Source organism: Homo sapiens, chromosome 8 (genome assembly GCF_000001405.40).
Source record: "Homo sapiens chromosome 8, GRCh38.p14 Primary Assembly".
NCBI classification, from domain to species: Eukaryota; Metazoa; Chordata; class Mammalia; order Primates; family Hominidae; genus Homo; species Homo sapiens.
The window spans coordinates 36,186,086-36,213,453 of NC_000008.11; the positions used below are offsets into that span (position 1 = coordinate 36,186,086).

General features: G+C 40.4%; 2 long non-coding RNA genes across 2 annotated transcripts in view; both read left to right on the forward strand.

The window, feature by feature from the left end:
• Window positions 1-3,563: 3,563 nt before the first annotated feature.
• LOC105379370 (uncharacterized) lies at window positions 3,564-6,857 on the forward strand. Its single transcript, XR_949667.2, has 4 exons — window positions 3,564-4,261; window positions 5,676-5,910; window positions 6,556-6,601; window positions 6,766-6,857. It is a non-coding gene; the product is annotated as an uncharacterized LOC105379370 (long non-coding RNA).
• A 2,100-nt stretch (window positions 6,858-8,957) lies between these two features.
• LOC105379371 (uncharacterized) overlaps window positions 8,958-27,368 on the forward strand; it is a 73,309-nt gene continuing 54,898 nt past the window's right edge. The window contains exon 1 of the long non-coding RNA XR_949668.2: window positions 8,958-9,011. This is a non-coding gene — a long non-coding RNA (uncharacterized LOC105379371). The remainder of the gene's footprint in view (window positions 9,012-27,368) is intronic.

Genomic DNA, 27,368 nt, shown 5'->3' on the forward strand with positions numbered 1-27,368 from the left:
AGGGACTCCACATTGGTCACAAGGGTAATGGAAGTAGAATAAAACACTGCAATAAATTTATTTACAGTCAGAACACGTGAAAACCATGAAGAGCTCTCAAACAAGGAGCACTGGGAAGGTAGGCAAGAACCCGACTGGTACTATCATAGAGGACTATGGTTGGGAGGTGGCAAGGGGAGGCTTTCCCAAGTCTGATAGGAGGCTCAGTAGCAAAGTGCCCAGAGGATAGGCTCACACTTTGGGTCAATTCCTGCCTCCCATTCCTAGCTTTAGATTATAATAAGTTCTATGACTTTGTGCTGATATCTGAAGGATAAAGAAAATAGTTCCTACCTGTAACAGTTTTGTTAAAATCAAATGAGTTACAATTTGTGTCAGTGCAGTTCTCTAAATTAAGATTCATGTTCAGATATGACTGGTGAGGAAGTCATGGAGAGCCTGGGTGGGGTGTGTATGTGAGGGTAACCCATCATAAGGCAATGGAGAAGCTTAGGAGACAAATTTTGTTTAAGGACAAGATAGAAGTGTTGTAGTGGAGATGTGATTTCAGGACCACACATAGCATGTCAGAGCCCACATGGACCTTATTTCTGAGTCTTAGAACATGGTCTATAATCAGCAAAGGAAAGTCTATAAGAGCAATTTTCACTAGATGAATACTTGGGAGTATAAGACCTGCTTTGTTGAAGCTATGTGTTGTGTTTGTGCCAGGAAACGGTATTTCCTTCCTTTTGGTTTTCTACTGGAGCAGGATGTGGTGCAGGAAAAAAAAACATAACAGCTTGATTAGTGAGGGAGGACCATGCATGGTGGGAAACACCAAAAAGATGTCATACTGTGGTGGCTTCACAGTCAGCATCATCTCCACTGAGTTTGTGGTGATAAAAGATAATTTTCAATAACTGCAGTAAGAGAAGAGGAAAATGGTAGATGCCACTCAGCAGCTGTGAAGGTGTTCATTAGCGGATATGAAGCATCCCCATGGGATGTCCAGAATTGATTCAGGAGGGAGGATTTGGAGGGTATCTGGCTTTCCCATTATGGTGAGAAAGCACCCTTATTTTCTCCAGTTTTTAGATCCAGACTAGTGAAGCCTGGAAAATGTGAGGCCATGGAAAGCCATAACAGCATGGTGCCAGCTACAAAGTAAAGACTCAGTAATTATCACCTTTCTTCCTGGAGACAGATGCTTACACACTGGTAGTAACAACAGAAGCAAAGACATTTCCCTTTAATTCCTGCACGGCTGCTTATGCTACCCCCAAGATCTCCCTGCAAGGAATTTTGAGTGGTTACTTTTGTCTAGAAATTGCCAAATTGAAACCAATCAGCAAGCCGAGGCAGCCAAGCGTGCCAGCCCAGTGCAGGATAGTAGAAATGGAGGTGGGAGTCTCAGGTTTTTATTCTGCTTTTGCTGTTTTCTAGTTGTATGACCTTGAACAAGGTATTTAATCTTTCAGGACTCAGGTTTTTTTTTTTGGAAAAAGATCTCCAAGGTCCTTTTTCACTCTGACATTCTGTGAGTTCCTGTAAGTTCTCAATTCTCTGATCTGTCCATGGTTCTTCAGTAAGTGCCAGAGTTGAATGGAGGTTACAACAAAGGTGGTAGTGGTTGCAGAAGTCTTCTCAGAGTAGGTGGGAAATGACTAGTGTGCTGGAGTGCTCAGCAGACACTACAGAAGCTAGTTTTACTAAAATTGCATGTTCTTTGGGATTATTAGTAAGATATAAGTCTGAAAAATGTGAGCTGAGGTCCAGGCCATCTAAAGACTCCTCTCTACCTTGATTTTTTTCAGGTTCATCTGTTTGAATTGGAACTTGAGCTCGTCTCAAGAAGTCTGCTTACCACTATAGGGAAAAGCAAACAATGATTGTATGTATTTTTCCTTGGTGGATAGTACATGGTTAGCATTTTTTCAAACTAATAAAGATAATCATTACCATTTATAGAGTGCTTACCTAAAACAGTCATTAAGTCCAAAATTTTTAATTCTCATAATAGCCTTAGGAAGTAGGAATCACTTTACAAATGACATAACCATAGCTCAGAAGTGGTTAACTATTTAAATTCACACAAATGTTAAGTAATGGAGCCAAAGTTTGATTTCTAATCTCTTTTGAACCCCAATACTGAACTTTAATGTTGACCCTTTTAAGGAGTCCATATAACTAACACACTGATATGCCACGCAGTGCAAAATGTGTCTAAGTCTTTGGGCAGTTTAATGGCAAATGAATTAATAAAAAATAATTAAATGTCTGAAGCATATTAAACACAAAATAACTAGGCCATGGTTGGATCTCCACATGAATTCTTCCCGCTGCAGCCCTTTCTGCTGTGACAGAAATAAAGTGAAGTCTCTCGGTAATTCGAAGCATATACAGCAATTAATTCCACATTTATATGGTCTTCTATTTAGAACTGTGTTTTAATTTTTAAAGCACACTTTTAATATCTGTGCTGTAACTGATAATTATTTGGGGAAAGGGGCAGGAGCAAGAAGATTTTAGTGGCAGCACAACAATTTTTAATGCAACAGCTGCAATGCTGAAATCAACCATGTGCCAAGAGCTCTGAAGCCTGTCAGAGGAAAGATAGTCTATAGTTAGACCCTCCCACTTCAAGGTCACTGCTTTGAGGCTAGCCAAAGTTGATTGTGGCTTAAGGTCACTTTCATCAATGGCTCCTTGGTGGCCTCAGTAAATGAGAGAGTGGACGTATCCATTTTCCTCCTGGGCAACCACCCAGGACTAATTATGAAGACTGTCACTGCAAATGGGAGGACCAACCCTGACATAGACACTCATCATTGTGTCCCCTCAAGGTCTAGGTCATGCTGATGCTGATTCTGATTATTATTGTTATTATTATTAGGTATTCTCTGAGAAGCCTCTGGCAGAACACGAATTTGGAAAAAACAAGCACATTAGTTTCAGTTTCTGTTGGTCAAGATGAAAACAGCGGACAATGATGAAATTTATTATTGGTGTTCCACCCATCTCCTACCCACACTTCAAGGTCCACTTCAGGCCCCAGCCCCCAACAAAGCTGTTCAGGACCAGTAAGTCCATGATGTCCCATGAATTCCAATTGCTTCTGCTATCTATGGGTCCTATTATGGCTCATAATCACTTATGACTTCAAATTGTTTTGTACTCTGGTTGTGGATGCTCAAGTGAGAAATAGCAGGCAGGACATTAAAATCTTCCATTGGTTCATTGACTCATGAAACTTGGCTTGATATAAGCCCTCAGATGTCCTTATTGGAACAACCATGGCTTGTTTAAGATTTCAAGGAGTCTTTCTCTGAGGCCCTCCTTAACATATAAAGTCTAAAATTGCCTACAGCAGCCATATTCCACCTGTATTCTTACCTTAGAATAAATAAGGCACATTTATGCTGTGTAAGAGGTGAGTACTCACTCTCTCAGGCTACTTCCTTAATAATAACATTCTACTTATGCCTTTGCATTCTTACATTCATTGAAGAAAGAGGTAGAACATTAATCAATTAGCTAATTACATTATTATTTAAATCTTTAGTTCCCCTGGACATGTTTCCATTATATCTGTGTTTTAATAATTTATTCCAAATATATATTTGCTTTTTGTTAGGACTTTGGTTCTTCTCGTATTTCAGCCTCTCTCTCTTAGACATGAATCCTTGGGCACATGGAGGGTAGTGAAGGTCTGTTTTACATGAATCACAAAACCTCTCCTGCTAAGCCACTCTTCCCACAGGTGACTCTACAATCTGAGACAATGTGTACTTGTTGGAAGGACCTTCACAGCATATAGTCTATGAATCCATGGGTAAGAGACTTCATCACAGCCATGGAAGAATTAATGATGCTTAATAACTCTTTGTGGACTCAACTGAATAAATGACTGACCTTATAGCAGTTCTGCCATCATCTCCATTCTTTTCCACTTTGGCTCACAAGACCCTACAGGAATCTGAGGCCACTGACAACACCAACCTCACATGTTCTCTGTGGGATCTCAAGACTGCAGATTTAACCACCTGGTCCTGAACTCAACAACAACCTGCCTACCAATTACTTTAGTGATTCAAACAGAAGCTCTTAGCTGCTTGTATATTATGTATGATTTTTCTACCACTGCATCTAGCTGTAACAAATCCTACATTTTTATTCTTTCTAAATCAAATTGATTCTGACTTCGTGCCTACACTAGTCATGGAACTTCTTTCTCCCAAAGAAATTCAAACTCTAATATTTTTGGAAACAGGTGGCTTATGTGAGTATCCAGAAACTGAGGAAATGTTCTCTAATCTTCAGTCAACCATGATGGTCTCTGATATGTATGTTGTTCAAGTACACATGATCTATTCACAATATGTAGACCTGTTACTACTCAAGCTTGGGCATAGGGGTCTTACTGTAGTCTGGATTCTTAACACCTGGCATCAACCTCAATAGACATACTAGGAAGGTCCAGGGTGCTATGAGGAAATTGTTTCCTGGTAAAACCCTGCTTCGTTGTCAGTCTATATGACTTCTCCTTCTTTAGGACCAGCCCTTCTGTCTAACTCACTAGGTATTTCTCTCTCTTTCTTTATTTTGGGGCAAATTCTGCCTGGTAGTGTGACCATATGTCATTCAAAACAGAACACTTCTAAGTCTAAAAGCAAGTATTAGTTACAACTACATTAGGAAAGCAGGTGGTATAAACCAGGATATATGATTTTCCTATGTGTAGATGTGATATTGTGATATAATAAAAAAAAAAATATGTATTTGGTCTCTGCCCCTGGTTCCTGGAGTGCAGCTCCAAAATCCTTAGAATCTTCCTATTGATAAGATTGTCTTTTGTATGCTAATAAGATGACTGGTGGCTGGTGGCCACTAGATAGCTTCAGGATGGGTGTGGTCACTAGAAAGACAAAGGCATAATTACAAAGTTGGGATTTTCAGCCCTACTCTCCCATCCTCCCAACATCTAGGGACGGAGGGAATAGGGGCTGAAGGTTGACTTTATCACCAATGGTCAATAATTTAATGAACTTTGCCTACATAATAAAGCCTCCATAAAATCCCTAAAGGACTGGGTTCAGAGAGATTCTAGATTGTTGAACACATGGAGGTTCCTAGAGGGTGTGCAGCCAAAGAAGGCATGGAAGCTCCACGCTGCCCCTCCCAACCCCATACCTTGCCCTATGCATCTCTTGGTCTGGCTCTTCATCTGTGTCATTTGTAATATCCTTCATAATAAATGGATAAAGATAAGTAATATGTTTCCTTGAGAGTTCTGTGAGCTGTTCTAGAGAATTAACTGAACTCCAGGAGTGGGTAGTGGGAAAATGATTTATAGACAGTTGGTCAGAAGCACACAGATCACAACCTGTGACTTGTAATTGGGATCTGAAGTGAGGACAGTCTTATGGGACTGAACTCTGAACCTGTGGAATCTAATGCTACTTCTAGGTAGACAGTGTGAAAATTGAATTGAATTATAGGACATCCAGCTGGTGTTCACTGGAGAACGGATTGCTTGCTGTGTATGAAAAACTACGTAGGTCTGGTCACAGATGTGTTCTGTGTTGTATTGTGTGTGAGAGGAGGAAAAATAGTTTGATTTATCCTTTCTCTTTCAGAGTAGACCTTCCTCAATGGGTCTTTTGAAACACAATGTTGATTTCTTTTTCCTGTAGGTGACAGTAGGGAAAGAAGACGCTACCATTGCTTAGCCATCCCACCAACTCATCTCATTACATCTGTACACACAGCTCAACAGGCAAAACCCTCTCTGGGAATGTGATTCTTCCTGGCAAAGCAGGCATGAACAGAGACGAAGAATGCCAATACCCTCTTGACCATCAAGATATGCCAAAACCACTTTAGAGAATATTGGAATAAAGTGCCTGAGAACAGATCACCCAAGAAAAAGTGGGTATAATCCTAAAATGTTCATTTACCACACCAAATAGCTGCCATTTCCCTTTGTTTATGCCATAAGCAACTAGAATTAGAGGTTGAATTTTGCAGTGAAGCCGCTGCATAACTACGAAGTCTAGATACAGCTCAGCCTGGATGCTTTCAGATTCCAGCTTTCAGAGGCAGGAGATGCAGACGGCCTCCACTTCCAGAATCCATTAAAAGAGAGTTGCAGGCACTCATGGTTTCACCCTAACAGCAAAGAAACCTCCATCTCAGAAGCATTAATCCTTCTCCAAGGTGAACCTAGGAAGGTGACAGAAGTGTAGCTATTATTATCGCAATTTGTTTCCTACAAACAGCAGCCTCCAGGTGGAGAAATGTGAGTAGTTAACTTGCTTTGTTCTTCTAGATTATTTCTTCCCACTGAGTCCCCAGGGAGCCACCTCAGACAGGGCAGAGCAGCCCTTTCCTGTCCTATCATGTGGAGAACAGCCCAGGATCTATTGGTTGCTGCAGAACCTAGTCTCTCCCCTGTAGACAATTAGACATTTTGAGAGCAGAGCATGTCAATCCTGAATCAAAAGACACAGAGAAACCCAATTATCCTACAAAGAAAACAGAAAATAAAAGTCATCACCCCCATCCTCTTCACAGGTTGACAGAGGAACAACTTCTAATTCATTCTGATGACACTTTTGAGGTAAAGACTTGGTTCAGTTGCTTTTGTGAATCTATCTTTTTTAAAAAAATATTTGGGGGCTCTGAAAATATGGCTGTACTTTTGCTTACAGTCAGAAAAAAAAATCAGATATCTTACCATAATGCTTAAGAGATTAAAAAAATGTTTTTGCTTTTACTCCTCAGGCTTCCAAAAAATCATATTTTCCTCAGGCTTCTTCTATAAGGCCTGCTTTTTTTGGTCTCACTTCTAACTGAGGAAAAAAAGGTAAGACATATTAAAAGGAAAAAAGTTTGCTCCCTTGTAATTAAATCTATTCAAGAAGAATTTTTCATATTTCAAGAAAAGAATGTTAAATATGTGCTAGGGGCCTGGACTTTATTTCCCTATCTTGTAACAAGGTGTGTGAAAAAATATTGATTTGCTCCTGAGAGATGCTGGAGGAACTTAATGAAAGTTGTTAAATACTTTGGAATCCTTTGATGGAAGAGAACATATAAAAGTGTAATGTGCTTTTGTTTCATGTGAAGTTTTTAGAAACCAGAAGGAAACCCTGTCACACCCCACCCTATTGCAAACAATGTGCTCACAAAGATATCTTTTCAATATCCGTGTATATTTGATTGTGATAAATATAGTGTCTGACCTTTAACAGACATAAAAGTGAAAACACAAAGAAACTGGACACTCCTTGATGGCTCTCGCCTATTTTCACAGAGCCTCTCAGCATATTGATTGGCTAGAAAACACTGCTGAGAGCTAGTATATGACTCTTAACAAACACATTCCATTGCAGGAGGAGTGTGTGGGCTTCTGAGACCCTACACAAGATAAGTTACATGGAACAAAGGCTGAAATAGTCAATAAACCTGACCTTGTGACAGGAGGCCATCAGGAAGCTCTGCGTGACTTTTGTCCAGGAATAGCCAATTCCCCCTCTTGGTTCTCTATACAGTGGAGAACATATATATCCCCCTGATTAAAGGCTCTGAAAGGATAGTCTTAGCTGATGCCTCCAAGAGAAAGTTGTTCTTCTGTCAACAAAGTCACCACCATGAAATTCAACTGGAGAAGCTTTGGCTTTTCTTCATCATTCTGTCAAGAACTTAGCCTATTCACTTTTCACTCTTACACCCTCCCAGCATTCTCTCTCTGGCCTGTGTCTACATAATAAAGTTGTTGAAGCAGTGTCTCTGAACCATCACCTGTGAGAGAACTGTACACATTTCCTTTGGCATTGAAGGCTTTCTTTCCTGCAGGTCAGGTGCTGGCTATGACTTCTTGATTGGGTTCTAGCAGAATGCTGTGTTTGGAATTTTAGCAAAGGAGCCTACTTCTCAGGAGACACACTGTATCGTCACTGTTAGAAATTTTCTGCTCTTAGTAGAAAAGGGAGTAGGGAGTTTGGCAGGGAGCAGAAAACTTTCCTTGGGTACCGCAGTGGTATTCAGTTGGCCTTGGAAGAGCTATGGTGTATACAGCCACACACTGGCTGATGACAGAATAAGAGAAGTGAATTTTACCACACTTGTGAGTCATTTTCTTCCTTGGCCTCTCACCTAATGAAAAGAAACTTCAGGGCTGGGCGTGGTGGCACACATCTGTAATCCCAGAATTTTGGGAGGCCAAGGCAGGCAGATCACTTGACATCAGGAGTTTGAGACCAGCCTGGCCAACATGGTGAAACCTCCCCTCTACTAAAAATACAAAACTTAGTCGGGCATGGGAGCGTGCACCTGTAATCCCAGCTACTTGGGAGGCTGAGGTGGCCGAATCACTTTAACCCAGGAGGTGGAGGTTGCTGTTTGAGCTGAGATAATGCCACTGCACTCCAGCTTGGGTGACAAAGCAAGACTCTGTCTCAAAAAAAAAAAAAAACAAAAAAAACAAAAAAAAAACTTCAACTGTAGGCTCAACTACCTCACTTGTTTTATTAGCCAATCTTATTAGGCTCAGATTTGCTGTCTAATGGTTTCTGCTCAGATCATGGCCTTTTAAACTGGCCAGGCCACCTAATGAAGTAGTAGGTTCATGCAACTTTAATCTTCTGGCACTCTCACCCTTTCCTTAGCTTTGGCCTCTACCCTCACTTTGGAATTGAGCATGGATCTTAAGTATTTGAACCTTGGCTTTTCCCAGTGCATAGGATCTAGCTGTTCCTCTAGCCTTGAAGCCTGTGGTTATCTCTCAAGAGTATTTCATCCTAGATTTTACTCACAGAACCTAACAGTGACCTCAAACCCTGGACTAACCTCCCAAATGGGCTACCCATGGCGATCCATGTTGAAAAGGACTCATGTGAGGTTCTGGAACTTGGAATTAATGTCATTGTGATGGGTCCTGGACACTTACATGCTTTGTCAATATGCTTCGTCTTCATTCCTGCCATGGTTGTTCAAATCAGGGAACTCCTAGCATTTCAGATCCCCAGGTAAGAGTGGATTTCTCCCCTGAAGCCAGAGAGAAACCAGGCAACTGGAAACCTGGAATTCTGCTCAGCTACTTTCTACAAACTCAGTCCTACTAATTTTCTTTTCTTTCAGAAGTTGGGTGGTTTCCAATTCAAGTTGGTGTTCTTATTCTTTTTTTTTATTTTATTATTATTATACTTTAAGTTTTAAGGTACATGTGCACAATGTGCAGATTAGTTACATATGTATACATGTGCCATACTGGTGTGCTGCACCCATTAACTCGTCATTTAGCATAAGGTATATCTCCTAATGCTATCCCTCCCCGATCCCCCCACCCCACAACAGTCCCCAGAGTGTGATGTTCCCCTTCCTGTGTCCATGTGTTCTCACTGTTCAATTCCCACCTATAAGTAAGAACATGCAGTGTTTGGTTTTTTGTCCTTGCGATAGTTTACTGAGAATGATGATTTCCAATTTCATCCATGTCCCTGCAAAGGACACGAACTCATCATTTTTTATGGCTGCATAGTATTCCATGGTGTATATGTGCCACATTTTCTTAATCCAGTCTATCATTGTTGGACATTTGGGTTGGTTCCAAGTCTTTGCTATTGTGAATAGTGCCACAATAAATATACGTGTGCATGTCTCTTTACAGCAGCATGATTTATAATCCTTTGGGTATATACCCAGTAATGGGATGGCTGGGTCAAATGGTATTTCTAGTTCTAGATCCCTGAGGAATCGCCACACTGACTTCCACAATGGTTGAACTAGTTTACAGTCCTACCAACAGTGTAAAAGTGTTCCTATTTCTCCACATCCTCTCCAGCACCTGTTGTTTCCTGACTTTTTAATGATTGCCATTCTAACTGGTGTGAGATGGTATCTCATTGTGGTTTTGATTTGCATTTCTCTGATGGCCAGTGATGGTGAGCACTTTTTCATATGTTTTTTGGCTGCATAAATGTCTTCTTTTGAGAAGTGTCTGTTCATGTCCTTCGCCCACTTTTTGATGGGGTTGTTTGTTTTTTTCTTGTAAATTTGTTTGAGTTCATTGTAGATTCTGGATATTAGCCCTTTGTCAGATAAGTAGGTTGCGAAAATTTTCTCCCATTTTGTAGGTTGCCTGTTCACTCTGATGGTTTTTTCTCTTGCTGTGCAGAAGCTCTTTAGTTTAATTAGATCTCATTTGTCAATTTTGGCTTTTGTTGCCATTGCTTTTGGTGTTTTAGACATGAAGTCCTTCCCCATGCCTATGTCTTGAATGGTAATGCCTAGGTTTTCTTCTAGGGTTTTTATGGTTTTAGGTCTAACGTTTAAGTCTTTAATCCATCTTGAATTGATTTTTGTATAAGGTGTAAGGAAGGGATCCAGTTTCAGCTTTCTACATATGGCTAGCCAGTTTTCCCAGCACCATTTATTAAATAGGGAATCCTTTCCCCATTGCTTGTTTTTCTCAGGTTTGTCAAAGATCAGATAGTTGTAGATAGGCAGCATTATTTCTGAGGGCTCTGTTCTGTTCCATTGAACTATATCTCTGTTTTGGTACCAGTACCATGCTGTTTTGGTTACTGTAGGCTTGTAGCATAGTTTGAAGTCAGGTAGCGTGATGCCTCCAGCTATGTTCTTTTGGCTTAGGATTGACTTGGCGATGTGGGCTCTTTTCTGGTTCTATATGAACTTTAAAGTAGTTTTTTTCAATTCTGTGAAGAAGGTTATTGGTAGCTTGATGGGGATGGCATTGAATCTATAAATTACCTTGGGCAGTATGGCCATTTTCATGATATTGATTCTTCCTACTCATGAGCATGGAATGTTCTTCCATTTGTTTGTATCCTCTTTTATTTCCTTGAGCAGTGGTTTGTAGTTCTCCTTGAAGAGTTCCTTCACGTCCCTTGTAAGGTGGATTCCTAAGTATTTTATTCTCTTTGAAACAATTGTGAATGGGAGTTCACTCATGATTTGGCTCTCTGTTTGTCTGTTATTGGTGTATAAGAATGCTTGTGATTTTTGTACATTGATTTTGTATCTGAGACTTTGCTGAAGTTGCTTATCAGCTTAAGGAGATTTTGGGCTGAGACAATGGGGTTTTCTAGATATACAATCATGTCATCTGCAAACAGGGACAATTTGCCTTCCTCTTTTCCTAATTGAATACCCTTTATTTCCTTCTCCTGCCTAATTGCCCTGGCCAGAACTTCCAACACTATGTTGAATAGGAGTGGTGAGAGAGGGCATCCCTGTCTTGTGCCAGTTTTCAAAGGGAATGCTTCCAGTTTTTGCCCATTCAGTATGATATTGGCTGTGGGTTTGTCATAGATAGCTCTTGTTATTTTGAGATGTGTCCCTTAAATACCTAACTTATTGAGAGTTTTTAGCATGAAGGGTTGTTGAATTTTGTCAAAGGCCTTTTCTGCATCTATTGAGATAATCATGTGGTTTTTGCCTTTGGTTCTGTTTATATGTTGGATTACATTTATTGATTTGCGTATATTGAACCAGCCTTGCATCCCAGGGATGAAGCCCACTTGATCATGGTGGATAAGCTTTTTGATGTGCTGCTGGATTCAGTTTGCCAGTATTTTATTGAGGATTTTTGCATCAATGTTCATCAAGGATATTGGTCTAAAATTCCCTTTTTTGGTTGTGTCTCTGCCAGGCTTTGGTATCAGGATGATGCTGGCCTCATAAAATGAGTTAGGGAGGATTCCCTCTTTTTCTATTGATTGGAATAGTTTCAGAAGGAATGGTACCAGTTCCTTCTTGTACCTCTGGTAGAATTTGGCCGTGAATCCATCTGGTCCTGGAATCTTTTTGGTTGGTAAGCTATTGATTGTTGCCACAATTTCAGAGCCCGTTATTGGTCTATTCAGAGATTCAACTTCGTCCTGATTTAGTCTTGGGAGGGTGTATGTGTCAAGGAATTTATCCATTTCTTCTAGATTTTCTAGTTTATTTGCGTATAGGTGTTTATAGTATTCTCTGATGGTGGTTTGTATTTCTGTGGGATCGGTGGTCATATCCTCTTTATCATTTTTATTGTGTCTATCTGATTCTTCTCTCTTTTCTTCTTTATTAGTCTTGCTAGTGGTCTATTAATTTTGTTGATCCTTTCAATAAACCAGCTCCTGGAATCATTAATTTTTTTAAGGGTTTTTTGTGTCTCTATTTCCTTCAGTTCTGCTCTGATTTTAGTTATTTCTTGCCTTCTGCTAGCTTTTGAATGTGTTTGCTCTTGTTTTTCTAGTTCTTTTAATTGTGATGTTAGGGTGTCAATTTTGGATCTTTCCTGCTTTCTCTTGTGGGCATTTAGTGCTATAAATTTCCCTATACACACTGCTTTGAATGTGTCCCAGAGATTCTAGTATGTTCTGTCTTTGTTCTCATTGGTTTCAAAGAACATCTTTATTTCTGCCTTCATTTCATTATTTACCCAGTAGTCAGTCAGGAGCAGGTTGTTCAGTTTCTATGTAGTTGAGCGGTTTTGAGTGAGTTTCTTAATCCTGAGTTCTAGTTTGATTGCACTGTGGTCTGAGAGACAGTTTGTTATAATTTCTGTTGTTTTACATTTGCTGAGGAGAGCTTTACTTCCAACTATGTGGTCAGTTTTGGAATAGGTGTGGTGTGGTGCTGAAAAAAAATGTATATTCTGTTGATTTGGGGTGGAGAGTTCTGTAGATGTCGATTAGGTCCACTTGGTGCAGAGCTGAGTTCAATTCCTAGGTATCCTTGTTAACTTTCTGTCTCATTGATCTGTCTAATGTTGACAGTGGGGTGTTAAAGTCTCCCATTATTATTGTGTGGGAGTCTAAGTCTCTTTGTAGGTCACTCAGGACTTGCTTTATGAATCTGGGTGCTCCTGTATTGGGTGCATATATATTTAAGATAGTTAGCTCTTCTTGTTGAATTGATCCCTTTACCATTATGTAATGGCCTTCTTTGTCTCTTTTGATCTTTGTTGGTTTAAAGTCTGTTTTATCCGAGACTAGGATTGCAACCCCTGCCTTTTTTTGTTTTCCATTGGCTTGATAGATCTTCCTCCATCCTTTTATTTTGAGCCTATGTGTGTCTCTGCACGTGAGATGGGTTTCCTGAATACCGCACACTGATGGGTCTTGACTCTTTATCCAATTTGCCAGTCTGTGTCTTTTAATTGGAGCATTTAGTCCATTTACATTTAAAGTTAACATTGTTATGTGTGAATTTGATCCTGTCATTATGATGTTAGCTGGTTATTTTGCTCGTTAGTTGATGCAGTTTCTTCCTAGCCTTGATGGTCTTTACAATTTGGCATGATTTTGCAGTGGCTGGTACTGGTTTTTCCTTTCCATGTTTAGCGCTTCCTTCAGGAGGTCTTTTAGGGCAGGCCTGGTGGTGACAAAATCTCTCAGCATTTGCTTGTCTGTAAAGGATTTTATTTCTCCTTCACTTATGAAGCTTAGTTTGGCTGGATATGAAATTCTGGGTTGAAAATTCTTTTCTTTAAGAATGTTGAATATTGGCCCCCAATCTCCTCTGGCTTGTAGAGTTTCTGCCGAGAGATCTGATGGGCTTCCCTTTGTGGGTAACCCGACCTTTCTCTCTGGCTGCCCTTAACATTTTTTCCTTCATTTCAACTTTGGTGAATCTGACCATTATGTGTATTGGAGTTGCTCTTCTCAAGGAGTATCTTTGTGACGTTCTCTGTATTTCCTGAATCTGAATGTTGGCCTGCCTTGCTAGATTGGGGAAGTTCTCCTGGATAATATCCTGCAGAGTGTTTTCCAGTTTGGTTCCATTCTCCCCGTCACTTTCAGGTACACCAATCAGATGTAGATTTGGTCTTTTCACATAGTCCCATATTTCTTGGAGGCTTTGTTTGTTTCTTTTTATTCTTTTTTCTCTAAACTTCCCTTCTTGCTTCATTTCATTCATTTCATCTTCCATAACTGATACCCTTTCTACCAGTTGATCGCATCAGCTCCTGAGGCTTCTGCATTCTTCACATAGTTCTTGAGCCTTGGCTTTCAGCTCCATCAGCTCCTTTAAGCACTTCTCTGTATTGGTTATTCTAGTTATACATTCATCTAAATTTTTTTCAAAGTTTTTAACTTCTTTGCCTTTGGTTTGAATTTCCTCCTGTAGCTCGGAGTAGTTTGATCGTCTGAAGCCTTCTTCTCTCAACTCGTCAAAGTCATTCTCTGTCCAGCTTTGTTCCGTTGCTAGTGAGGAACTGTGTTCCTTTGGAGGAGGAGAGGCACTCTGCTTTTTAGAGTTTCCCATTTTTCTGCTGTTTTTTCCCCACCTTTGTGGTTTTATCTACTTTTGGTCTTTGATGATGGTGATGTACAGATGGGTTTTTGGTGTGGATGTCCTTTCTGTTTGTTAGTTTTCCTTTTAACAGACAGGACTCTCAGCTGCAGGTCTGTTGGAGTTTGCTAGAGGTCCACTCCAGACCCTGTTTGCCTGGGTATCAGCAGCAGTGGCGGCAGAACAGCGGATTTTCATGAACTGCAAATGCGGCTGTCTGATCATTCCTCTGGGAGTTTTGTCTCAGAGGAGTACCCGGCCATGTAAGGTGTCAGTCTGCCCCTACTGGGGGGTGCCTCCCAGTTAGGCTGCTTGGGGGTCAGGGGTCAGGGACCCACTTGAGGAGGCAGTCTGCCCATTCTCAGATCTCCAGCTGCACGCTGGGAGAACCACTGCTCTCTTCAAAGCTTTCAGACAGGGACATTTAAGTCTGCAGAGGTTACTGCTGTCTTTTTGTTTGTCTGTGCCCTGCCCCCAGAGGTGGAGCCTACAGAGGCAGGCAGGCCTCCTTGAGCTGTGGTGGGATCCACCCAGTTCGAGCCTCCCGGCTGCCTTGTTTACCTAAGCAAGCCTGGGAAATGGCGGGCGCCCCTCCCCCAGCCTCGCTGCCACCGTGCAGTTTGATCTCAGACTGCTGTGCTAGCAATCAGCGAGACTCCATGGGCGTAGGACCCTCGAGCCATGTGCGGGATATAATCTCCTGGTGTGCCATTTTTTAAGCCCGTCGGAAAAGCGCAGTATTAGGGTGGGAGTGACCCGATTTTCCAGGTGCCGTCTGTCACACCTTTCTTTGACTAGGAAAGGGAACTCCCTGACCCCTTGCACTTCCCAAGTGAGGCAATGCCTCGCCCTGCTTCAGCTCGCGCATGGTGCGCTGCACCCACTGTACTGAGCCCGCTGTCTGGCACTCCCTAGTGAGATGAACCTGGTACCTCAGATGGAAATGCAGAAATCACCTGTCTTCTACGTCACTCACACTGGGAGCTGTAGACCGGAGCTGTTCCTATTCGGCCATCTTGGCTGCCAGAAGAGCATTCTTATTCTTTTTCATGCTGAATAGTATTCTATATTATAGAAGTATCATAGCATTTGTTTTTCTATTGATATTAGGTTGTTTCTGATTTTTTCTAATATAAACATTCTATTGTGAATATCCTTACACATGTTTTTGTGCACTATTTCCCACCATGGAATTTAAACTGCTGTGTCATAAGGCATAAATATTTTGACAGATACTGACAGATGGCCTTCCTAAAATGTTGTATCTGTCCAGCCATCTAAGAAACTATTGGGAGAATCTTGAATTTTGCACACGCTGTTCCACTAGTTGGAACGCTTTTCCTGGTAGGTTCTCAGGCTGTTTTCTTCTTATCCTTCAGATCTCAACTAAAATGTAACCCTTCCTAAGAAACATTTTCTGATCGCCATAGCTAAAGCCACCTCTCCTCATCACTTTAACATGTCTCACCTTCTCCACAGCATTTGTTAGTGCCTGAAAGTATCTAACTAAATTATTTTTTTTATTTTATTATTGTTATTATTGTTTGATATGGAGCCTCGCTCTGTCGCCCAGGCTGGAAGGCAGTGGCATGGTCTCGGCTCATTGCAACCTCTGCTTCCCAGGTTCAAGTGATTTTCCTGCCTCAGCCTCCCGAATAGCTGGGACTACAGGCACATGCAACTACACCTGGTTAATTTTTGTATTTTCAGTAGAGACAGGGTTTCACCATGTTGACCAAGCTGGTCTCAAACTCCTGACCTTGTGATCTGCACGCATCAGCCTCCCAAAGTGCTGGGATTACAGGTGTGAGCCACCGCGCCCAGCCCCTATTTCTTTTTAAATATGTGGTTTTCCCTGCATCACTCTTCATTAGAATATATACACCCTGAGGGAGGGATTCTGTTTTGCATCCTCAGCACTTAGAATAGTGGCTGTTGCAGCAGAAATGCTCAAGAAACAAGTGATAAATGACTAGTTACTCCATATTCTTTCTAACACTAGTTTTATTTATTTGCCAAACATGTTAAGAGTACTTACTTTTGACTAGGTGCCGTTCTCAGCACTTTACACCTATTAATGAATTTTATGGTCATGACAGCCCTTGAGGTAGGTAGTATTACTAATCCCATTTACAGAAAAGAAAACAGACATGGAGAGAGTAAGTCATTTGTCCAAGATTTGATACCTGATCAGTTATGGAGCTGGGATTCAAACTCAGGCTTTTTGATGGGAGAACAATGAGATCTCATTGCTATTTCACTTTTTATCCCTCTGATTACTAATGGTGTTGGGGCTCATTCCATGTATGCATTGACCATGATAAATTCCTTTATGTGAACTGGCTCTTTTGGGGGTTGGTGGTATGTTTTATTAACCTTTTCCTCCTTCCTTTCAGCATTCCTTCCTTCCTTTTGTTATTGTTGTATAGAAGTGATATTTGAATAATTTTGAATAATTTGAATTATTCTTTCTCTATTGCTCTGTGGGCTGGGTTTGCACCAACAAAGAGTATAATTGGTCAGGGCAGCTTGGGTCAGGTAGAAAGAATCAGCAAGGAATTCTTCAGAGTTATTTCCATTCCAATTTGGCCCAGTTGCTGAATTTAGAGCTAGAGGGCTTTCCACTGGGCCTGCTGTGCTGGGGTGAGATGCTCAGGGATGGGGGTCTCCTCCAGGGCCCAGAGAGGACAAGACATGAGCTCAGAGACAGATGCCATACCAAAGATAGCGGCAAAAACACTGACTGCATTTGGAGGGATGACCGAGCCCTGGCAGAGCCAAGGAGGAAGAGAAGACTAGAGTTCTACAAGACACCAAGGTTAAATACAGACACTGCAGAATGTGCACACCTCATATGGCAGGCAGTACACACTCAGGGGCGTGTAAGAAGCCAGGAAGTCCCTTTTTTCCTGTGTCACACAGTGAGTAAGGCCTCCTCATACCCCAGGAGCCATCTGAAGAGCTGGGGAAAAGGCAAGGAAATGGAAAGACAGTCAATATCTCATCAAATAATGAGTTATACCCAGAGAAACTGTTTAAATTATTGGGTCATATTTAGTTTAAATTTAATTGGCCTGAATTACTTACCTCAGTTCCTGCTACTTATTAATTGGGGGCTGTAAGAGAGGTCAAAGGAATTTTGACGACTTGAGGAAAATCTGAGGAAATTTACTGTCTTGCAGCAATAGGAATTTTTTTGTTTTTAATATTAATAATGCTTACTATCAGTTTCTGCAAGATACTTTAAACAGATTTGTGCTGATTCTTTCTATTCCTAACTTTTTATGAATTTTTATAGAGAATGAAAATTAAATTTAAGAAGTATCTTTTAGCTTCTATTGTTTTCACTTTATAACTTTTTGCAGTAAAATGCCTCAATATATTGCCTAATGTCAAATCCTCCCTAAATTCCTGGGATAAATAATTTTTCTAAGTATTAACTTATTTTATTAACTAAATTTTTCTAAATATTAACAGTTGTTATTTTTAAAATATTTTGTGGTCACTGCTAGAGATTTTCAATAGAAATAAAGTTACATATGCATACAGAAACTACCACCTTGATCAATATCCTATCTGTGCTACTATGTAAATAACGTTTTCCCCATAAACTATCTAGTGATATTAACATTTCAAGAAGCTGCACAATGGCTATCCTTTAAGTAACTGTCTTTTTTTTTAGAGGCCAAGTCTCACTCTACCATCCAGGCTGGAGTGCAGTGGTATGATCATAGCTCACTGAAGCCTCGACCGCCTGGGCTCAAGCAATCCTCCTGTCTCAGGCTTTAGAGTAGCTGGGAATACAGGCACGCAGCACCACACCTGGCTAATTTTCTTTTCAAAATTTTTGTAGAGACAGGGTCTCACTAATGTTGCCCAGGCTGGTCTCAAACTCTTGGTCTTTAAGTGATCCTCCTTCCTTGGCCTCCCAAAACACTGGGATTACAGGTGTGAGGCACCACATCCAGCTGTCTAAGTAACTGACTTTTATTGGTGCATTTTCTTTCCTCATAATTTCTTCTTAGAGAGCCTTGTTCTTTTCCATCCCCACCAAGGCAGCAGAAGTGATGGATCCCTTCTGTTAGTGCGTGATCTACTAACCCCAGCCTTTGTTGGATAATTGGACTGAGCATAAGTATCTGACCCATGAGATTTTTTCTAACCTTCTTTCTCTTGAGCATTTGATCAGGAGTTGGTTTCCAGTTGTCTGTGGAGATGGGAGGTTAGGTAGACACAGGGTCCAGAGTGGCCATTTTTGGATCACGTATGCTGGTGAACAAGCAGGGTGAGTGTTTCAGCAAAGAGAAGCACTGGCAAAATCCCCCACCCTTTTGTGATTCTTCGTATTGGGTAAAAGAGCTAACCTTAAAGGACTGACTTGCCCTTGCATATTCTGAGACAAAATCCATTTCCAGCCTTCCTCAATGACTCCCTCATTTTATAAAATCCCAAGATGTCTCCATCTTCTTTGAGATGTTCCTCATTAATGAGTGTTCTTCCTATTGCAATATCCTAAATGTAAGCACCTTAGTTGTCTGGTGCATTTTGTTTTCTAAATGCATATAGAAACATGACTTTATGAGTGGCCAGGCAAGATGAAAGACACGAAGAGTCAGGGAGAGGACCTGCCCTGGTTCCAGATGTAATCACCCAATGGGCTCTTCCTGCTTGCTGCACAGACAAAACCAATTTACTGAGACCATAGTATAGCAATAGAGAAAGACTTTGATTAACATGCAGCCAGTTTCATGGGAGAACTGAATTTGTCACTCAAATCAGTCTCCCCAAAGGCTCAGAGGTGAAGGTTTTTCAAGGATAGTTTGGTGGGCAGGGGACTAGGGATTGGGTCTGCTGATTGGCTGGAGATGCAATCACAGGGGTGTGAAAAACAGTCCTTGTGCACTGAATCTGTCTCTGTGGGGGGGAGCTGCAGGGCTGGTTAAATCATGAGTCATGAGTCCAAGTGAGGTTGGTTTGAAAAAATCTCAGTAGAACAATCTTAGTTTTTAAAATAATGATGTTATCTATAGGAGCAACTGGGGAAGTCACTTAACTTGTGACCTCTGGCCACATGACTCCTGGGCATTAAGGGATTATAGAAACTATATCTATATTTTAGCAGAATTGCAGCCTCTCCCATAATTCTAATCTTGTGGCCTCTCATTAGTCTTACAAAGGTGGCTTCAGCCCCAGAACAAGGAGAGAAGCAGTTTTAGGGAGGGACTATTATCATCCTTGATCCAAAATTGAACAATAAACTTCCCATGTACATTGGGAAGTTTATTGGGAAATATTTTTTATTATTAAACAAGTCTTCCCATGGTTAGCTTGGCCAATGCACAGGAATGAGCAAAGAGAGCCAGCCTGTGAAGGTAGAGGCAAGATGGAGTCAGCCATGCTAGATTTCTGTTGCTATCATCATCTTGACAAAGGCAGTTTCGCTGACAGCTTTCCAGAGCCCAGGCCTCGCTGATCAGGAGGTGCTTCTGTGCTTCCTGCTTTGGTGTTCTATGACTTACTTCTGTACTCTTATCTCAGGTCCCCACACCAAGCCAGCTTACGATGATTTCTACATCTTGTGACTCAATCACTCCTTGCTAAGACCATGTCGTATTGCACATTCCTGGAGCATTGTGTCTACAAAGCATGAATGTAATATAAAAACCAATGGGGGAAAAAAAGATAGAGTGCCTGGGTTAAATTCTAATTTCTCTGCTTTACTTCAGAAACCTAAAATCAGTCCTGAAAACTGCAATAATTAGTTTATTTTACACATGCCCTCTTTTCTGACCAATCTTTTATAAAATACCATAATACTGTTAAAAGACAAAGACTGAGCCTTTTACAATTTTTTATTCTAAGGGCCTAAAATGTGCCTAGCACATAGTAGGCTCTTCTAAACATTGGTGGAAATCTTTTAAACATTGACATGGTACCAAGAAGGATTATGTGCACATTTGAGTTATGCCTTGAGCCACCAGCATGACCTGGAGTGTATTACTTTGTTTCTCTCACCTTTTTTTTACATATCTGCTTACCTAATGAGTTCCCATAAAGATCAAGAAAAACATGAGATAAAGGAACCTAAAGCAGTTACTGTCACAGAAACTGGGGTAAAAATCATTGGTATAAAAACTTTCCAGATTCTTCATTATTATTTATTCATTTATTTTTATTTTTCAGAGAAGAGGTTTCACTCTGTCACCCTGGCTGGAGTGCAATGTCACAGTCATGGCTCACTGTAGCCTGGAATTCCTGGGATCAAGCGATCCTCCCACCTCAGCCTCCTGAGGAGCTGGGACTACAGGTGCACACCACCACGCATGGCTAATTTTATTTTTTGTAGAGACAGGGTCTTGCTATGTTGCCTAGGCTGGCCTTGAGCTTCTGGACACAAGTGATCCTCCTGCCTCAGCCTCCCAAAGTGCTGAGATTACAGATGTGAGCCACAGTGCCTGGCCCTAGACTCTTTAGACAATTTTTTTTTTTCTTTGAGACAGCGTCTCCCTCAGTCACCCAAGCTGGAGTGCAGTGATACAATCTCTGCTCACTGCAACCTCGGGTTCCCGGGTTCAAGCGATTCTCGTGCCTCAACCTCCCAAGTAGCTGGGACTACAGACGTGCACCACCATGCCCAACTAATTTTTGGATTTTTAGTAGAGATGAGGTCTCACCATGTTGGCCAAGCTGGTCTTGAACTCCTGACCTCAAGTGATCCGCCTGTCTAGGCCTCCCAAATTGCTGAAATTACAGACATGAGCCACTGTGCCTAGCCTAGACAATCTTTTTCTATTATAAGAGAGTTACAACCATGATCCAGTACATAGCCACATTGGAATTTTGGTAAGAAAAAAAATAGTAAGACTTTGTATGCAGGCTATAATTTTTTTTTCTTTTTTTTTTTTTTTTTTTTTAGACAGAGTCTCATTCTGTTGTCCAGGCTGGAGTGCAGTGGCATGATCTCGGCTCACTGCAACTTCCCCCTTCCGGGTTTGAGCAATTACCTGCCTCAGCCTCCCGAGTAGCTGAGATTGCAGGCGCCTGACACCATGCCTGACTAATTTTTGTATTTTTAGTAGAAACAGGGTTTCCCCATCTTGGCCAGGCTGGTCTTGAACTCCTGACTTCATGATCCACCCGCCTCAACCTCCCAAAGTGCTGAGATTACAGGCGTGAGCCACCACTCCGGGCCGGGCTATAGATTTTTTGTTCAATATTTAGCATAATAAGGTTGGTTACAATATGCTGTAGAAGAGGTGCTCTTGCCACTGAAAAATACCTAGCCTCAACTGTAAATGGGAGGTAATATAAGAGAAGGTGTCCCCAGCTCCAGCTGTACCCTACTTTGAGGCTTCCAGAAGTTTTCAGTGTACAGGAATGAATAAATAGTTGGCCTTTGTATGACATTGCTGGGTTAATGAACAGACACACAACTGGGGACAGATTCTGTCAGCAAGTACACTCAATTCTGACGTAAATCGATGGAAACCATTAATAAAAAAAAAGTTAAATGTGGCAAGAAAGCAAGCAATTAGCTGGTTTTTTTAAAAAAGAGATATTTATTGTTGTTAAAACCATAATTAAATTTTGCTTTTGCAGAATAGCTGTTTTCCTCCCAGTTAATGTTATAATTAAATGGAAGAATTGTTATCTTTTGGGATTTAAAATGTATAAGCAATATTGGATTTACCTTGAGTTAAAAAAAAAAAAGGAAAACAACAAGACAAAATTCAGGAACTTTCAGATGAGCAAATAGAATTTGTTTTTGTACTAGGTATAGTAATTTAATTTTCAAAACAATGAAATCAGATATTTGAAGAAAAAGTAAGTAATTATCAGTAGTGAAAAAATGAATACAAACATTTCTATTATTATTTTCTATAGGGCATTTTTTTAATAAATTGGATTTATCTTGAATCTCATCCACTTACATTAATATGCCCCATTTATTATTTGTTGAATACAGACTGCATAACACATGCTGTGCTATATGCCCAAGATACAAAAATATATAATTGCCATATGCAATTCCAAGGCATCCACAGAGAAGGGGTACTGGAGGGAACCTCACCTGATAGATATCTGTGATGATGAGGTATATCTCTTCCCTGCTTCCTTGGTGCCTTTAGGTCCTTCCCAGCTATGCATAGGAGGAAAGAATCTCAGGAGGCCAGGATTCTGTGCCTACATGCTTGAATTAAAGCTTGCAGTGAGGCCTCTCTGGTGCCCTGGTCCCACAGTTCTGTAAGCCACAGATCTGTCTCTTACAGTCTAGGGGAATAAATTTTCTAGTTTGGGCAAGGGTCTCTTTCTCTTGTTTCTTGCACACTCTGCTTCCCCAACCCATTTACTTCCTGCAAGCTTTATAAGGTATTCTATGGGATTAGACTTTGGAAAAATGAAAGCCAAGATTTATAAGGCACCTCTCCTTCTTGGCTTAGCCACACTTCCTTTGAGGCAATGATAATGAGTCCTCTCTTTTCCATAACTGTGGTCTTAATTCAGACAAGCAAAGTTTTTCAGGAACTATTATAATTACTTTCTCATTTTATTTTTCTCTCTTTTTGGACTCTAAAGCATTCCACACAAAGTTACCAAATTACTTTTCCATAAAAGTAGCTCTGACCTTGTGATCTCTGGCTCAAATATCCTTCCTGGTGTTGGGGCCAAAAATCAATATTCCAAAATATGGCACTTTGACATGCTGAACTGAAGAAGAAGCCTGAAGGACTCTCTGACCTCCTCACACCTCCCCAGTCACCTCCTGACCTCAACTCCCTCTTTGTTGCCCCTTTCCAATATGAAAAGAATTTTTGAGATCCATATTTTTTAAGATGGTTCTTTGGGACACTAGTCCACCATCTTTTCGGTTTGCTGGTCATCCAAAATAACGTCACTTTTCTTGCCCTAACTCCTTGTTTCTCAATTTATTGGCTGTCGTGCAATGAGCAGTACAAACTTTGGACTCAACTACAGCAGGAGAACAATCATTTTCTTTATTTCCCCTCCCTCCTATCTCATTATTTGTTGCAGAAAAGAAGACCAAGAATGTAACCACACTTGAACAGACCCTTTCACAAGATAATGTCTGTCTCTCAGGATCATTCAAATTCCAAAGACAGCTACTGACAACTTAGTCTCTATTTCCCACCCATTCATTCTCCCTAGTAATCATTTATTGCCCTTCAACAGAATTCCTCTTCACCCCACTCCCATAACCTGTTTTGCCACTATCATGTTTTTTGCCAGGGTGGTACATAAGCTTCCAAACTCCATTAGAAGAGTGAGTCATACTATGCAAATCTCCCTGTGTACTCATTAACAATTTTGTATGCTATTTCTCCAATTAATCTGCCTTTTGTTAGTTATTCAGTGAACCTTTGGAGGTCAAAGGGGGAGTTTTCCCTTGGTCCTGACACTGGCTTCCCATTGTCAAAAAAATTAAGGCCTCACACCTTGGATATTTAAATCTCCCATGTTGGCCTTAATGTAGCTGTTAAACTTTTCCTCATTTCTCCTTTATATCCTTGTGCTACAGGAAACATGCACAACAACATCCATGCTTTTCCCTTTTCTGTCTTGGTTCCTGATATACCTTCTGTAAGAAATGCTCTCCCCTCCCTTCACACCAATTTCCATGTGACCAAATTCTGTCCATCCTTCAAAGGCCAGATGCCATGCTGCTTTCTTTATGAAGCCTTCCCTATTCTCCATGAATGCCAGCTGCAGGAAAAGAAATAATGAAACCCAAACTGAGAAGAGTTTATGGCTGGTACCAAAAGAAGAGAATGAAATGTTAGTGAGGGCTAAGCTTTGATTTTTTTTTTTTAACCATGCCCAAATTCCTATCTAAGGGATCTAGGGAGTCATGTCCTACTTGTCATAAATTCTCATCAGATGGATTTCATTTAACCCTATATATCGTGACTTACTTTCCAATCTGACTCTGGCACAACACTATGTGACAAAGAAGAAAATCAAAATGCTTTACTCCAAAACATGTTGCTTTGCCATATTTTGAAATGGCCCTGCAAGCCATCCTTTGTGGGGAAAAATTTGCATCTGTTAAGAATATTAACATAGCTAGATCTTTTTCTTCCAGGCCCTCCCAATCCTGAAGAGATTAACTAAGAGTCTAGCACCTTTTAAAGGTCTGAATAGGAAACACTTGTCATCTATTGTCTCTAAGGGCAGCCACTATGAGACTTCAAAAGAACCACAGTTTTTTATCTTAATGTGAATGTTTCCTTTCTTTTAATAACAGGTCTTTAGACAAACTCAACCAATTGTAAACCAGAAAATGTTTAAATTCACCTACAGCCTGGAAGCCCCCTGCTTTGAATTGTCCCACCTTTCTGGACCAAATCAATGCATTTCTCAAATGTATTTGATTGATGTCTCATGCCTCCTTAAAAATGTATAAAACCAAGCTGTACCCCAGCCACCTTTGATACATGTTCTCAGGACCTCCTGAGGGTTGTGTCACAGGCCATGGTCACTCACATTTGGCTCAGAATAAATCTTAAAGAAAATATTAAAGAAAATATTAAAGAAATATTTAAAGAATATTTTACAGAGTTTGACTCTTTTTGTCAACATTAGTCTAGAAAAAAAAGGTAAACATGTGGAATAAAGTCATAATTCCATAACAGATATCAGGACGTGCCTGAATGAGATCTAAGTATGGGATTACCCAAGACTGAGTGGTGACTGAGCCCCTCGGGGCCTCGAGTAGGTAGTAGGGCTGGACATTGAGAAAGGGCTATAGCTGGTTATTTCTACAGTACTGGCTGACATCAGGGACCTTTCCAACTCCAACCTTATATAATGCTGATGTTCAACATTGTAAAAATAGCTCCTGAGGACTCATCTAAACTCCTATTGTACTTTTGTTCTGTCTCTCTTATGACACTAAAATTAATGATGATATGAGGACATTATTTATCTGTCCCATCTCCACTGATGGATGACAGCATGCTCAAAGGCAAGGCTCACCTGGCACTGTACCTTGCACATAATTCTGAGACCACCCAGTTAAAAAGTTGAGAGATCAAAGCATTGATATCCATGCTGGTGTCGATCACATTAAGCATTGTTACAATAGTAAATTCAAGGACTGATGATTCTGGTGCCATAAAGAGGCTTCTTCTTGTACTTGGCAGTGTCCCGATGAAATGGCCATGTTCTGAAACTATCCAGTCTTTTATTGATCAATACAGCATATGCCAATTAGACAGCAAATCCCACATTTTTTTTATGTTCTAAGTGTACCTTGACATTGCAGATGATTAAGTGACGTGAGGGGGACAATCATTAGCACACCATATCAATGTCTGCAAGATGACTGTAGTGAGACCAGAAATTTCCATGAGACCCAAATTATTCCCATATGAGGGATGAATATGGTCATTATACTTATCTTAGTAAAAGAAGAACATGATAAAAGAAATAATATTGCTATAAAATATGGAAGCTACTTTAAGAGTCTATCACATCCATCTTTAATGAAGTAGAAAAAAACTTCCTGATCAGCTCACCTGTGAGCAGTCATGATCTGCCTTACAAATGAGACCTTAGGGTAGATCTGGACAGAAGGAACATGATGAGGGAAGTAGCTTTGTTAATTAAAAAAAATAATTTCCTGTCTGTTTTGAATTCTGTTTTATCTGTTGCTACTTTCCCTGATAAGGCCTCTGTCTATTAATAATGGAAGACCTGGTCCCAAATCATTTAGATATAAACGATTAGATATATGTGACTTCAGTGAGCACTGGTCCTGCTCATGGATGCTCCTATGGAAGGCTTTGAAAGCACACTTTTAGAAATGTTTCTTTCCTCCTATGCACCCTGAAAGGCATTGGGATTTAAATTTACTCTCATTCTGTCATCTTTCAGTAGAATGTTTTTCCCCACTTTGGAAAAATTGTTCCAATGTTTTTGAATGTCATGGTTAATGTCAGTTTTCTTAAGTCATGAGTACATCTGACTGAATTAAATAAATGTTTTAATTCTTGAATAGTCTCTCTTCCACCACACAACCCTCTTCCCCAGTTGGAAAGAACCACGGAAAAGAGAGACTTGATTTAAAAGATGATCCAGTAATACATTCTGTTTGCCTTCCTGCCTTCTCTTTGGCTAAATGCTACATTGATTGTAGCACTTGAAGTGTTGCCACATTCAGCAATACAAGCTTCACATGATTTGATATTTAACTTGTGGGAAAGGAGCCCAGATCTTTCTCTCCCTCTTTTTTCTCCCTGTGTGTTTACTGAAATAAGAAGTGTCATACCCAGCTTGTCTGTTTACTTTCAGCCCATTGTTTTGGAAAGAATGAGGAAAAAAACTGACTAGCATTCAGAAGCAGCAGTCAAGAAAAGCACACGTCTTTTTTCTTCTTATATATAAACTTGTTTAATCAGAGCATTTGTACTTTGATGTATTATTATTACTTCTCTCTATGGGAATTGATTTGTAATGCTACCTAATCAGTGTGGTTCCAATTTTAATCTTGGAGCTGAGTAATAAATATAAGACATTAATTTCCATAAACCATATATATTTGAAAGCTTCATTTACATAGTGAACAATTTAGTCCTATAAATTCTAATGTGTTTCTATTCCTTTTGGGTTACTGTTTCCATAACCTTTTTATAGCTCTGATGAACATAATGCTACCCAGTGTTGACAAATTTCTCGCTATTGTCCAATGCATAAAAATGTATTTCAAGTAACTCTCCAGTACTCACTCAGTAATTTTTCTTCTTTTTTTCTCACTCACTATTGAGGGTAATTCCCTTTTAGGAGCTGAGACATTCCATTTATTTCCCCTTCCACTTTCGGCATCTCATTTGTCAGTTTTCTCTAGCCTAGTATAGGCTTCTGATATAGTTGGTACCAAGACAGCCCCGTTTATCCTGAGCAAGACTACTCAGCTTTAAGAAAAGTGCAGACTCAGCTGTAAGTAATATCATCTTTGTCTCTAAGAGGTTGGGGGAATGAGACAGAGTGTAACTGAGTATACTTAACATATAAACTGAACATTTTTTAGGTGATGTAAGATGAATTGAAAATGTCAAAATGGA